The sequence below is a fragment of the Homo sapiens genome, chromosome 12 (genome assembly GCF_000001405.40).
Source record: "Homo sapiens chromosome 12, GRCh38.p14 Primary Assembly".
Lineage (NCBI taxonomy): Eukaryota > Metazoa > Chordata > Mammalia > Primates > Hominidae > Homo > Homo sapiens.
In genome coordinates, this window is record NC_000012.12 from 31,168,302 (window position 1) to 31,182,839 (window position 14,538).

At 35.8% G+C, this 14,538-nt stretch overlaps 1 pseudogene across 1 annotated transcript in view; it reads right to left on the minus strand.

Annotated features, from left to right (window-relative positions):
- Window positions 1-14,538, minus strand: part of OVOS2P (ovostatin 2, pseudogene) — an 89,584-nt pseudogene that overhangs the window by 56,650 nt on the left and 18,396 nt on the right. The window contains exons 8-14 of the transcript NR_153414.1: window positions 10,502-10,660; window positions 9,358-9,588; window positions 5,213-5,273; window positions 4,515-4,659; window positions 4,022-4,171; window positions 3,135-3,305; window positions 2,107-2,203 (exon numbers count right to left, since the gene is read on the minus strand). The product of NR_153414.1 is annotated as an ovostatin 2, pseudogene (transcript). The remainder of the gene's footprint in view (window positions 1-2,106; window positions 2,204-3,134; window positions 3,306-4,021; window positions 4,172-4,514; window positions 4,660-5,212; window positions 5,274-9,357; window positions 9,589-10,501; window positions 10,661-14,538) is intronic.

Here is a 14,538-nt window from a genome sequence, read left to right on the forward strand (position 1 = left end):
TTTATGCAGCCAAAAAACACATGAAAAAATGCTCATCATCACTGGCCATCAGAGAAATGCCAATCAAAACCACAATGAGATACCATCTCACACCAGTTAGAATGGCGATCATTAAAAAGTCAGGAAACAACAGGTGCTGGAGAGGATGTGGAGAAATAGGAACACTTTTACACTGCTGGTGGGACTGTAAACTAGTTCAACCATTGTGGAAGTCAGTGTGGCGATTCCTCAGGGATCTAGAACTAGCAATAACATTTGACCCAGCCATCCCATTACTGGGTATATACCCAAAGGACTATAAATCATGCTGCTATAAAGACACATGCACACGTATGTTTATTGCGGCATTATTCACAATAGCAAAGACTTGGAACCAAGCCAAATGTCCAACAATGATAGACTGGATTAAGAAAATGTGGCACATATACACCATGGAATACTATGCAGCCATAAAAAATGATGAGTTCATGTCCTTTGTAGGGACATGGATGAAATTGGAAATCATCATTCTCAGTAAACTATCACAATAACAAAAAACCAAACACTGCATATTCTCACTCGTAGGTGGGAACTGAACAATGAGAACACATGGACACAGGAAGGGGAACATCACACTCTGGGGACTGTTGTGGGGTCAGGGGCGGGGGGAGAGATAGCATTGGGAGATATACCTAATGCTAGATGACGAGTTAGTGGGTGCAGTGCACCAGCATGGCACATGTATACATATGTAACTAACCTGCACATTGTGCACATGTACCCTAAAACTTAAAGTACAATAATAATAAAAAAAAAATAAAAATAAAATAAAATAGCGTCCTGATGTTCTGCTCTTTTCCTTTATCTTGTTTTATTTTCCTTACAGTAGTTCTTTGAGAGATAGTAACTCACGATAGAGAAACATGGTCTTTGGGATCAGAACGTCTGGATTATAATCCCATCTCTGTTATTTAGCATCTGTTGCATTGGACAAGTTACTTAACCTGCCTAAGCTTCATTTTTCTCATTGATAAGTTGCAGTTAATAGCTTCCAATCTATAGACTGTGATGAATAAATGGGTTGACATTTGTAAAATGCTTAGAATGTTGCTTGGTATGTAGCAATAATTCAGGAAAGATTAACTATCAGAGCACTTAATACCATCTGAAATTATGCCATTGATATAGTTTGAATATTTGTCCCCTCAAATCTCAGGTTGAACTGTTATCCCCAGTGTTGGAGGTGGGGCCTGGCAGGAAGTGTTTGGGTCATGGGGGCAGACCCTTCATTGCTTGGTGCTGTTCTTGCAATGGTGAGTGACTTCTTGTGAGATCTGATTGTTTAAAAGTATGTGATGCCTCTCCTCTTCTTGCTCCCATACTGGCCACGTGAGACACTTGCTCCCCCTTGTCTTTCACCACGACTGTAAGTTTTCTGAGGCCTCCCCAGAAACCGAGCAGATGCCAGCACCATGTTTGCTGCACAGCCTGCAAAACCGTGAGCCAGTTTAACCTATTTTCTTCCTTTTTTTTTTTTTTGAAAAGGAGTTTCACTCTTGTTGCCCAAGCTGGAGTGCAATGGCACAATCTTGGCTCACTGCAACCTCTGCCTCCTGGGTTCAAGTGATTCTTCTGCCTCAGCCTCCCGAGTAGCTGGGATTAGAGGCATGCACCACCACGCCTGGCTAATTTTTTGTATTTTTAGTAGAAACAGGGTTTCAACATGTTACCCGGGCTTGTCTCAAACTCCTGACCTCAGGTGATCTGCCTGCCTCAGCCTCCCAAAGTGCTGGGATTATAGGTGTGAGCCACCGCACTTGGCCCCTATTTTCTTTGTAAATTACCCAGCCTCAAGTATTTCTTTACAGCAACACAAGAAATATACAAATGACAATATGCAGCCATTTGTATATTGTCTGCATCCCAAATTCAATGTAAACTTCACGAATATAAAGATTTACCTGCATTATTCTCACTGTATTTCTAACATCTGACATGACAGGCACATTAAATGAATTAAAAGACAAAGCAAAAGAAAATAATCACCTCCCCTCTTTTCCCAATCAGTTTAAAAGCATTAAGAGATTATAACCTGTCACCTGCCCTTCGCATTATACTGTGACTTACCTAAGGGTATGTAATCAGTAGATTCAAGATGGTTAGAATCCTTGCACAATACTGGTTTCCGGAGGTGAGAGTTGGTAAAAATCTTTAATCCTGTTGCCTTTCAAGATAAAATCAATTTTAGATCACATAACAACATAGACTAGCAGTCTGGACTGGTTTTTTGTTCTATGTATATTTTCAATTTCCACTTATTTATTTCTCCATCTCTAATTGTCATATATTTAGAGATACTTCACTGACATTTCCTAAATTCCATGTCTTTGAGTTCCTTAGTTTCTCTAATTCTAATGGCTTTTGCTCTATTTTCCTAATTAAGAGCTGTTGATGAAAACCTTTAAATAAGAGAGGACAAAAAAAGACATCTCATATCATACCCCACTGTACTTTCACTACTTTGAATTTGGCATTTTTGTTGAACTAGGGATATTATCTCACTTATAAACACTTTAAATATAGTAGAATACTTTAAAATAGTAGAAATCAAATTCGAGGGTAGACGTAGGAGCAAAATGGGGATTTATATTAGACACCAGTATATAATGTACATAATATTATGTCAGGAAAGCTGATAATTCCCTCACATATTAGTTCTTTTCCTAATATTATAATATTATTAGTTATTTAAAATATTATTATAGTTTTATAATGAAGTTCTAATAACCTTATAACTTAACCTTATTATAACATTATAATAACCTTATAACTTTATAATTATAACTTTATAACTTTTAAATAAAATTATATTAATACAACTTTTAAAAATATATTATAACTATAATTTATTGTAACTATATAGAATAACTATTATAGCTTTATAATATTATAACTATTATATAATTATAACTATAAGAACTTTATTAAGTCTTTTTGCTATTATAACATTATTTGAGATATTATTTCTCAGACATTAGTACTAATTGTAAATTTGTACTCTAAGAATTCTGAGATTAAAAACCCACACCATGAATATTTCTATTTATTTATATATTGTCACATATATTCACCATTTTAAGACTTAGTTGCCTTACCTTCACAAGGTCATAGCCATCTTTTCCAAAGTCAGCCCATGCAGGTGTGTAATAAATTCCATTGTAAAGGATATGTCCATCTTCAAGACACGGCACTTTAAGGCCATCTTCTAAGTTAAGTCCTCTGAAATAATAGCCATGTAGTTCGCTGGAATGTAGCTGACTATACACCTAGATGTTAGAAGAGAATCAACTGTATTTTTTCATAGAAAACAATTCATTTTTCCCCACAAGCAGTATATAAATAACCTATATAATCCTATGAATATCCTGTGTAGAACTGTCATCATACCTATACCAAATAAACACATATTGAGAAAGTATAGGATCTTAGATCTGTAAAAACTTTGAAATACTATTTAATCAGTTAAATAACTGCTGGCTAAATCACATTAAAACTAACAAAAAGTCCATGAGGCTCAACTGGATTTTAATACATTCCAGATAAAGGCACTGCTCAATACTCTTTGAGGACTCATTCAAGGACATTGTTAGAGAATGTTCTCGGTTAATTTACTAAATCTCCCTGAGCCTAAGATTAGACATTAATCAAAATGGGAATACTGCATTAGTTCTATAGGGTTGATTAATATGAGAATAAAATTAAATAATAGATATGGGAATACTCAGTAGAGCAAGTGTCAAATAGTAGACCTTTAGCAATTGTTATTTATTTTTAAAAGTGTTGCTCATTTTTTCCATAAGAGAATCAGTATAATTGGAGTAGAGTCATTGTACATGATTTCTAACCTAAAATATTTTTTATGCCTGGAACTCTGGACAATTTTTTTCTCCTCTAGTTTATTTAAGGTATCCTGTTTTTATCCAAAGGTAAAGACATAAAACTATACTGTGGGTGGTAAACAAAGATGGTTTTAATCACTCACAGTTTGTGCTGGCAGCTGACCATAATTCCTTAGTAGCAATACCCTCTGGTCTACCGCCCAAAGAGCATAAAGAGAGTTTGAAGCAGCCGAGACTTGAAGATCGACATTGGATCCTGGTAAACTTTTTTCTTTAGAAAAATTTAAGTTGACCTGAAAATGAAAATAAAAGGGCAAAAGGATGGCAAGCCATATGAGAAGAATCATCTTTTAGACTATTCTTAACTTTTTTAAAAACACACATAAGTTAAAAGGGCTTTCTGTGCTTTACCCACCTAATAATATTATTATTAGGAACAACTGGATTTGGAACAACATCCAAAGTGAATGCTATAATCCTGCTACTCTTCAATCATCCAACATATTAACTTCTCCATAGCTTTCTTTTATTTTTCATTTTGCAATTCTATGAAAAATTGGGAGTTTAAACCCAACACTCTCTTAAGTTCTCCTTAGTTTTCCCCCAAATTAAAAAAGAATCATTTTTGGCACCTACCTGATTTTCGAAGCATTTCTCAATTGGAATTGGGTGCTATCAGTGACCATTTCTCCTCCAGGATGCAAGCTATAGACAAGCATATGTACTGAGGGCGCTAATTCAGGGTTAATGTCTATAGAAATGGAAAATATGCCCTTCCTCCCTGTGAAAAGAAAATTTCAAACCGAAAAAGTGCTTTGGTGAGATAGCTGACTGTCATCTTGCAGAAACCCTCCATTGAGTTTCTAGCCATCCTACCCACTGCCAAAGAGACTGCCCCGACCCACCAAATTTAATTTATAAAGCATTTCTAGGAGGAGTTCATAACCTATTCCATAAATTATAAAAGAAAGAAATAGTTGAACATTTCTTATTACGTCAAACTTCAGTCTACTTTTGTTTCTTTTTAAAAATCCCTTCTTGTTTGAATGTAAAAGTACTTACCTGTCTTTCTTGGAAAAGAAAGGGAAGGACAATGACCCTTTCCCATTATAGTAGTGTTTGGAATATAATTAATGCACTATTAATTAAGTAATTATTTTTTCATTTGGCATTGTGCCTATTCACATGTCTTTACATGTTCCCCAAGGGTAGTTTAGGGGGCAGTAAACAGTCCTAAAATGGGAGGATTGTGACTTTTAAAGAAAAATGTAAAATATATCCCAATTAAAGCATTCTATTTGTATTAAATTATATGCTAAAATTAGAGGCCTCACCATTTTCGTTGATCTCAATTTTCTGTTGCCCATGAAGAATGATTACACCTTTTGAAATCACCTAGGAAAATGAAAATATAATCGTAAAGTTTAGAGGATAGAAACTAAATTTCATTTAATTATAAACGAATGTGATTTACCTCCTTTTCTTGTCTGAGCAATACTATTGACATGTTTACTAGTAAACTCAGGTTACCAGTAAACAAGCATATGACTCTAACAGCTATATTCAAGAGAATTTAGGAGTCACAGATAAACTTGCTATAAAGCAATTTAATGTTCCACATTCCAAAACAGTTTTCTAAGACCAATAAACAACTTTTTATTCATATTTGCAAATGCTGAATTACATCTAAATTTATTTAGTTCAGTGAAACAAAGTTACACAAAGGCATTAAGAGTCTCCCAGTGCTTGTCTGGTTTTCTGAAAGGTGTGTTTGATATGCAAGGTATAAGCAAGGCCTGTTCATCCATCTCCACCCAAAATTTAAAGAAAAGAAAATAAAGTAGCAAGCTGGGGGTGCTCCAGAAAAAAGCTTCTCTCACTTCACCTTTATCAGCAACTGTGTGCAAATTTGCATCAGCAGACTTTTGTTATGATCTCTAAAGTGCAAACAAAGGCTGGAGACTTGAAATCTAGTACAAACTCCTTGAATTTTTAAATTACAGTTTTAGAATATTATTTTAAAAGATGCTGAGACTTGCAGAAAATTTAAAGCTTCCGTAAGATCTTGCAGCTTGAAATTGCAGGAGCTGGTACTCCTAGTCCGTTTAATATTTCACTGAATATTAAAATTGCTTTAAATCTCTGAAGTGCCAAGTTTGGGTTATTAGCTCATAAAAAAAGAACTGAGCCTCAACTAGCTGGAAAATATTGTTTTGGGAACTAGAACATTTGCAAAAAGGCATAAAGCTCAAAGTTTAATGAGCCTGAGAGGTCTCAGCACTGTTGGCTGTAGTAGCTCACTGACTTCTCAAAATGGAAAGACAGCTCTCGTAACAGATGAGTAAACTGAAGAGGCACACAGAGGTACTGATATTTGTCAGGTCACACAATTAAGAAAAAAGCTTAAAAGACTGAGTATCAAATTAATTACTGAAAGCCTGAGAATCAAATTAATTCAGCCTCTATCCATTCATTCTAAAATATGATATTGAGGGTTCTCTCTGTGATGTGTACCCTGCTAGGCAGAATTAAAGTCCACCCAGCCTATTATGAAAGAATATGTAGAAGACTGGAATTGTCTAGGAGATTAGAAAGTTTCATTTAAGCCAAGAGATGAATGCTGAGGAGGAATCAGCTCGGAAAATGAGGTGCAGGCAGGTTGGGAACTGTGGTAGCAAATGGGAACGAAGATTGTTATGGGCAGAAGGGAAAACCTGTGGGAGGCTTCGGAGCCAGAAAAGCACATGGCTTGTCCAAGAAAATGAAAGCCCTCTGTGTCTGCAATAAAGAAGGCTGAAGTGTAGAATGATGCAAAATGAAGCGGGCGAGCTTCACAGGTGCAGAGCAGATACAGTGTTGCAGGCAAAAGAAAGGAGTCTGGTATTTGTTTCAATAGAAATAGGCAGTCATTAACTGTATTTCAATTAGGGGAGTGAAATAAATAATCCTAATTGCTTTTTTTAAAAATCACTCTAGATTTCCAGAATAAAGAAAGAAAGAAGAAAAGGAGGGAGGAAGGAAGAAGGGAGAGAGGAAGAAAAAGGCTATTAGCAGACTCATTTAAAATGGAAATGAGGTAAAGTAATTGTAAAGGCCTTATCAGATCAGAGGGGGGCAAACCTACGCTATTTCAAGAGGGAAGCTGATGACAAGTAGATCAATTCACACCACAGACCTGCAAAATGGCTCAGCTCTGGATTAGGAAGTATTGGATATTAAGTCGAGCAGAGGTGTGGCCAGAAAAGAAGGCAAAAGTCAGGGGCATGTGGGAGTGTCTTTATAAAAACTAGTTAAGAGGTTCAGCTTCCCTGTAATCCCGGTACTTTGGGAGGCCGAGGCGGGCAGATCACGAGGTCAGGAGATCGCGACCATCCTGGCTAACACGGTGAAACCCCGTCTCTACTAAAAAAATACAAAAAAATTAGCCGGGCGTGGTGGCGGGCGCCTGTAGTCCCAGCTACTCGGGAGGCCGAGGCAGGAGCATGCCGTGAACCCAGGACGCGGAGCTTTCAGTGAGCGGAGATCGAGCCACTGCACTCCAGCCTGGGCGACTGAGCGAGGCTCTGTCTCAAAAAAAAAAAAAAAAAAAAGAGGTTCAGCTTCTCATTCAAGGATGCTTGGTATTTCTCACACCCCAGTATGGCAATATTATTGTTGACATGTTGAAGGATTTCTGTACCGGTTGGTAAAGAGCCACTTCCCTGAGCTCCCCAGAGTCCCCTCCCTGCTTCCCTAGAACCTCTCCTCCACAACCAGCTCCTCCCACTCCCACCACTTTGCCCCCAGTCTAAATGAGCCATGCTTGGCTTAGCTAAGGGCTTCAGTGGAATTATCACTCATACCTTTTCTGATGGTTTGGTGTCCATACCTTGCTGGTTTGAAATATTTTAATGTTTGTGGAAATGATGAAGGAAAGAAAAAATGCGAGAGATAATATAATGAAAAAGTGATAGAAATTGGTGATGCAGTAAATAGCACGAAAAAAAGAAGTATCAAAAGACTATTCCAGAATTCTAAGTTTGCAAAATGTGAGAAATCATGTGGTACTACTTTCATTCTTCACATAGATAGACTCAAACACCTTTAGTTCTCAGAATAATACACTTCAGACATCTTTGACCTCTTATATTATTTCCTAAAATAAGCTTAAATGTGTTTCTCATATCCTCTAATCATCCAGAAAACTCCTATTCATCCCACAAAATCCTATTTAGGCATATTCTCTTTATGTATTTTTTCCTTAAAAATATGTATATACATATAAATGTAAATATATAGGCATATATCTTTTTCCTAAACTAGTGGTTGTCAAATTTTAATGTGCTTCGGAGGACAAGATTTCTAACTTATTCCTATGTTTTTTTTTTTTTTTTTTTTTTTTTTTTTTGAGACAGAGTCTTGCTCTGTCACCCAGGTTGGAGTGCAGTGGCACCATCACGGCTCACTGCAAGCTCCGCCTGCTGGGTTCACACCATTCTCCTGCCTCAGCCTCCTGAGTAGCTGGGACTACAGGCGCCCGCCACCATGCCAGGCTGATTTCTTTTTGTATTTTTAGTGGAGACGCGGTTTCACCGTGTTAGCCAGGATGGTCTGGATCTCCTGACCTCGTGATCCGCCCATCTCGGCCCCCCAAAGTGCTGGGATTACAGGCGTGAGCCCCTGCGCCTGGCCACTTATTCCCAGAATTTCTAAATTATTCCTAGGTGATGCTGATACTGCTACTCTAGGAAATATACTCTGATAATCACTGTCCTAAACTCCAGCTAGAGTTAATCATTCATTTTTCTGTAACACCTCAGTGGCCATACATGTTTCGTTTGTAACACTTATGTAATTCTAATATATGTTTTGTCCCCAGTTATACTTTTTCTATTTCTTCTATTGTTACAATTGCTAATACAGCACCTGGAATATGAAAAACATTCAATAAGTGTTGGCTGATTGAATTAATTCATGTTTCATTAATTTTATATCATCTTCCTAAATCTCAATGAAGTATCATGCACCCATTTAGACAGTGTAAAATAATCCATAATAGCAATATATTAAAATCAAACTAATACTTAATATCTTTTGTGTGCCAGAAGTTGGGCAAAGGGCTTTATATGTATTATTAAATAATTATCTTGATGATTAGACAATATATTACAAAAAACTAAGATTCTCTAGAGGTTTAAGTGGCTTTCAAAAAGTAACACAAAGCTAGTACATATCAGAACTCTGGTTTGATCCCAGCAATGTCCAAATAGAAATGGGTAACTCTGAAGAAAGGGTCTGAGAATGACAGAGTGCATATGGGTTGTGGTGTCATGGCCTTTTCCCTCCTTTCTTAAAAATAGATACCAGTTATATAAGTTTTATCATTTATGTTAACTTTGAGCTTCCTCGTGGCATATAGGTACAGGGATTTCATTAGGTTCAAAGAAGTTTTAAAGAAAAGAAGCAATTTTGATTGTGGAAGAATATTTTCAGCTCATACCAAATAATTGAAGTCTGCTGTGTAGGTTTTGTCTTCAAAGTCTTCCATATTGAGAATGCAGTGCACTAGCACCCTCTTCTGCTGGTTGCATCTCAGTTCTTCCATCTCTTGGACAATCTTTAGGAAGCTATTCATCTTGGAGTAAAATCGATATGCAAAGTACTCGGGCTGAGGGTATTGAGGCAACACCCAGCCATGAGCCTGGCAATTTTCATTGGCCTTGTAGGCTGCCTAGACAAAAAATCAAAATTACGGGTATTTTAGGATAAAGAGAAAGGATGAGTGAAAGAATATTTGATAAGATGGTTTATCATCATGCTGCTTTATCTCTGCAAGAAAATTTTATAGCCATTCTACATTAAATCTAACCCAATTCCCCATTTTCTAGTTATACTCTAGAGCGACCACTATGGTTTTTACAATTTAGTCTATTCAAGTCCTACTTCAATAATATTACATTCAATATTTTACTGTATTCTTTACTATAATTATTACTTTTGCTAGCAAGTAGATTGCTATATCTCCCTCACTATAATACGAAGAACCCATGAGTGCAAACGTTTACCTTGCTACTGATAACATAATATGAAGTTTTGCTGAAAGATGGGAAAGTTTTTATGAAATACAGCAAGGAGTTTACTCTGACCATAGTAATTTACCATTATCAACACAAAAAGTCTGAGGAGTCCTTTAAAAATATCTAGGAAGGATTGATATTTAATTATTACAGATAGTAGTTTACTTCTCTCTTGAATATATCCAGAGAAATTCTTTACATTATTCCAAGGTAATAGATTACAGGGTTTCTCAAATATTTCCTTCTATAAAAACACAATTCTCTTTCTATTTCCTTAATAAAAGTGAAGCGTTGCTTATTTTCAGCTAATTCTCCTTTATACAATTTAGTATGTATGCTAACCTTCTGTCTTTTCCCGGGACTCTTAAAATAATTTTTAACCTACTTTTCATAGGGCCTATATTCTTAATATTTAACTATTTTTCAGTACTCTAGATTCACACCAAGGTGTATCTTTTCATTTCTGTTCCATAAATATAATTTCGCATAGACCTAAACCTTAGCTAGCCAGTGCAGTTTTTTGTTTGCTTGTTTGTTTTTATTTTACTTGCCTTTCGTTTAACTTACTTTCAAAGTGATATTTGGGTATGTAAACGTATATGTGTCCAAGAAAAACTGAGCGATGCCATTTACATCTGTGGTGTAGTTTCCCACGATTTTGTCCTTCAGATGCAACTGAACAACTTCATTTGGGATTGGAGAGTTGTCTGGATTAAGCAATTTAATCTGTACAAGAGGAAGAAAATACATTTCGGAAGCATGTAGTAAATTTGGGCATCCATTTTGATGGCATTTGCCAAGCTTCTATCATGGGGACCCCTGCTCTCCTTGGTGCGTATGCACTTCCTGTGTGGTTTCATCTATTCCTGTTGAGTGTATGACATGTACCATTAATATACTAATGAGCCTAAACTCTGTTTCTCCTGCCCACGAAGATCTCTGAAAACTCAGGCCCATAGAATTAACCATCCTGAGTATTTTTTATAATAAAAATGCTACAGAAACTCTCAAATTGGAATGATTTATTACTGTGCCCAACCTTCCTTTTTTTCTATTTCTCTTATTTATCTCAAAGAATACCTCAACCATTCACTTAGTCACTGAAGTCAAATATCTAGAGACATCTTAGACTTTTTATTTTTCTTCTCCCATAATTTTCAATTGTTGATCAAATATTTTCAATTGTATCTTTTTAACATTTTCTGTTTCCAACTGATCACGTTTGTTCCTGTTGCTATTCCTTGTATCAATATCTTATCTTTTTTCCCTCATACGTCTTCTATTTTTTTCTATCCAGTCTCTCTCTCCTGTATTGCTTTTGCTTGTTCTTTCTCTATACTGGCATCAAACCAAATTTTCTAAAATGCAAAATTTAGCATTATCCTCCCTAAAACATTGTAGTGACTGCTCTGATAGGCCATGGTTATTCGCTAGAAATCTCTTTCTCATTCTCTTACTAGTACAGGCAATGATTGCTTTAAAAAGTCCCTTCTGAAATTGTATGATTTGTAGTAGATACAATGCCTGCATCAGTATCTATGCCAGTTTGAAGCCTTTAAAGGCACCTTCTTAACAACATCTAAGGCCACAACAACCAGAAGAACTGTCTGAGCCATCCTTTTTTTAGCTCAGTCAGTTTCTGCAAAACAACTTCTGCTTTGAGCCTTTCATCTTATTTCTGCCACTTATCATTTTCCTGCTGGTCCAAGCAAACACAATCCTTTTTTCTTGCTCAGCATCTGTAGACTGATGCCTCATTTGCACCATCTACACAGATTTTGAACTTAGTTTCATCTCAAGGCTTGATCTTCTAAGAAAAATTCAACTTGTCTCAGCAATCCACAGGCCACAGACACGTGACACCATGCCTTTATGATCACACAGAGGTTTGCCCTAATTTTAGTACACCTAGACTAGAAAGATCCTTTGAGTCCCTTCCAGTCACAGAAAGATGAACAAGCCATGTGATTTCTGGGCACTTTCCTTTCTTTCTTTTTTTTTTTTTTTGTTTTATTTTTATTTTTTTTATTGATCATTCTTGGGTGTTTCTCGCAGAGGGGGATTTGGCAGGGTCACAGGACAATAGTGGAGGGAAGGTCAGCAGATAAACAAGTGAACAAAGGTCTCTGGTTTTCCTAGGCAGAGGACCCTGCGGCCTTCCTTAGTGTTTGTGTCCCTGGGTACTTGAGATTAGGGAGTGGTGATGACTCTTAAGGAGCACGCTGCCTTCAAGCATCTGTTTAACAAAGCACATCTTGCACCGCCCTTAATCCATTCAACCCTGAGTGGATACAGCACATGTTTCAGAGAGCACAGGGTTGGGGGTAAGGTCACCGATCAACAGGATCCCAAGGCAGAAGAATTTTTCTTAGTACAGAACAAAATGAAAAGTCTCCCATGTCTACCTCTTTCTACACAGACATGGCAACCATCCGATTTCTCAATCTTTTCCCCACCTTTCCCCCCTTTCTATTCTACAAAACCGCCATTGTCATCCTGGCCCGTTCTCAATGAGCTGTTGGGTACACCTCCCAGACGGGGTGGTGGCCGGGCAGAGGGGCTCCTCACTTCCCAGTAGGGGCGGCCGGGCAGAGGCGCCCCTCACCTCCCGGACGGGGCTCTGATGTTAGGGCTTAAATTGATTTATATTTCAAAGAATTCCCTAATAGATTCTATAGTAGCACTGAAGAGTATTCTATTGTAAAACTCAGAGGAAAGCAAATGTAATTTTCTTTGAACATGAAAAAGAAAGCAACTTTGAGAGTAGTCATTTAGCAGTAGATGTGCATTATTATGAGAAAACAGTTCTATAAATTCAGGGTTAATTCTATTAATTGGAATGTCGGTCTCTAATGTCTAGCTTATTATAGGGTAGAAAAGAGCTTTCTACTCAGCTAATCATTAATCATTGATCCAAAACTTAAATACATCTATCATTTCCTGGGGCTATTGTGAGTACTGTATATGTATTTAGCAAATATTTAAGACCTAGTAAGTGCTCAATAAATTGTAGCTGTTACTACAAAAGAAAAAATTACTTTTTAAAAAAATATACAACCATAATCACACATACTAGAGAAGAAAACTTAAAACTCTAAGTAATTCTTAGGTAAAAATAAAAATAAAAATAATGAAATCATCAAAAATGATTTTAATTGAACTTAAAAATTGTTAAGATGGTAAATTTGATATGTGCATTTTTTCATAATTTAAAAAATAAAAATAGTATAGAAAAACACCTGTGAGGAGGAAAGAAGTATTCAGGAAAAATTGTATAAATCTGAAAACATGGAAGTTTAACATAAGTATTTATAACAAGATGCTAGAAAAAAAAAACCAAAAGAGGTAGAAGAAAAAATATAATAAAAATAAATGATGTAATGAAAATCATTTAAAATAACATTAAAAATAAAGATAATTAACAAATCCAAAAACTAATGGGAAAAAAACACAAACACAACTAGTAATAAAAAAGGGGAAATAAATTATGATAGATTTATTTTTTCAAATCATAAGTGAACATATTTTATGCCCTCTATTTTAAAACCTAAATTTAATAAGAAATATCTAGATACAGAAACTAACATATTATAGAAAATTCTTAGTGAACTAAAAAAGGAAAATTTTTTGACTCGATAAAGTATGTCTCACAAAATGCTACAGTTACTTAGTAGGTTTACGCATTACATTTTTAAAAGCATTCCCCAAAATATGCAAAATACAACCAGGAAGTCCACTATCATCTCTAATATTCAAATTGGAGATCTTTGCCAATCGAATAAAACAAACTAATAACAAAAACCTCAGAAGATTAAGTTCAGAAAGGAAGCTAAAATATAACATTTTCACACAAAATGCTCTTTACACAGAAAACACTTTTAAATTGCACAGAAAAGATACAAGAGACAAATGGGAACCCAAGAAATCATCTTGGGTAACAACAACGTAAGAGGGAGGAAATGGAGAATTCTCAAGTCTAGATAAAATTATTTTATATTCAGAAAAAATTTTATATTCTTTGAAGATATCTCTCAGTTTTATATATTTAGTAACAGAACATGGAAATATATAAAGCAAAAATGTACAAAGTGAAGAGAAAGGTTAGAAAAAATTATGTTAACATTATCCACCACTATTCAGTAAGTGAAGTGAACATATATCAAATTTATCTATCTGCCAAAGCTGTATTTCAATCTAAATTTGTTCATTAAATGACTTTTACTGAAATTTGTTTCAGTAAGTCCTTTAGGTGATGCTGATGCCAGTTTGAGAAACTGCTTTGTAAGATGTAAGCCAGGCTACCCACTTTTGTATTTCTTTTTTAGTGTTCTTGTGTCAACCTAAATATTACTTCCTCAGGGAAACTTTCCATGATCATTTAGTCCAGATTTTAGCAAACTTCTTTTGTAAAACACCATGGTCTCTCTCTCATATATTTTTTTATTTTTTAAATAATCTTTTAAAAATGTTAAAACCACTCATAGTTCACTGGCTGTATCAAGGCAGGCCTCTGTCTGATTTGCCTATGGGCTGTGGTTTGTCAGCTCCTGATGTAGAGTAGTTAAATGGTCAGTATTTCACTGACATAGCACCTATCACAACTA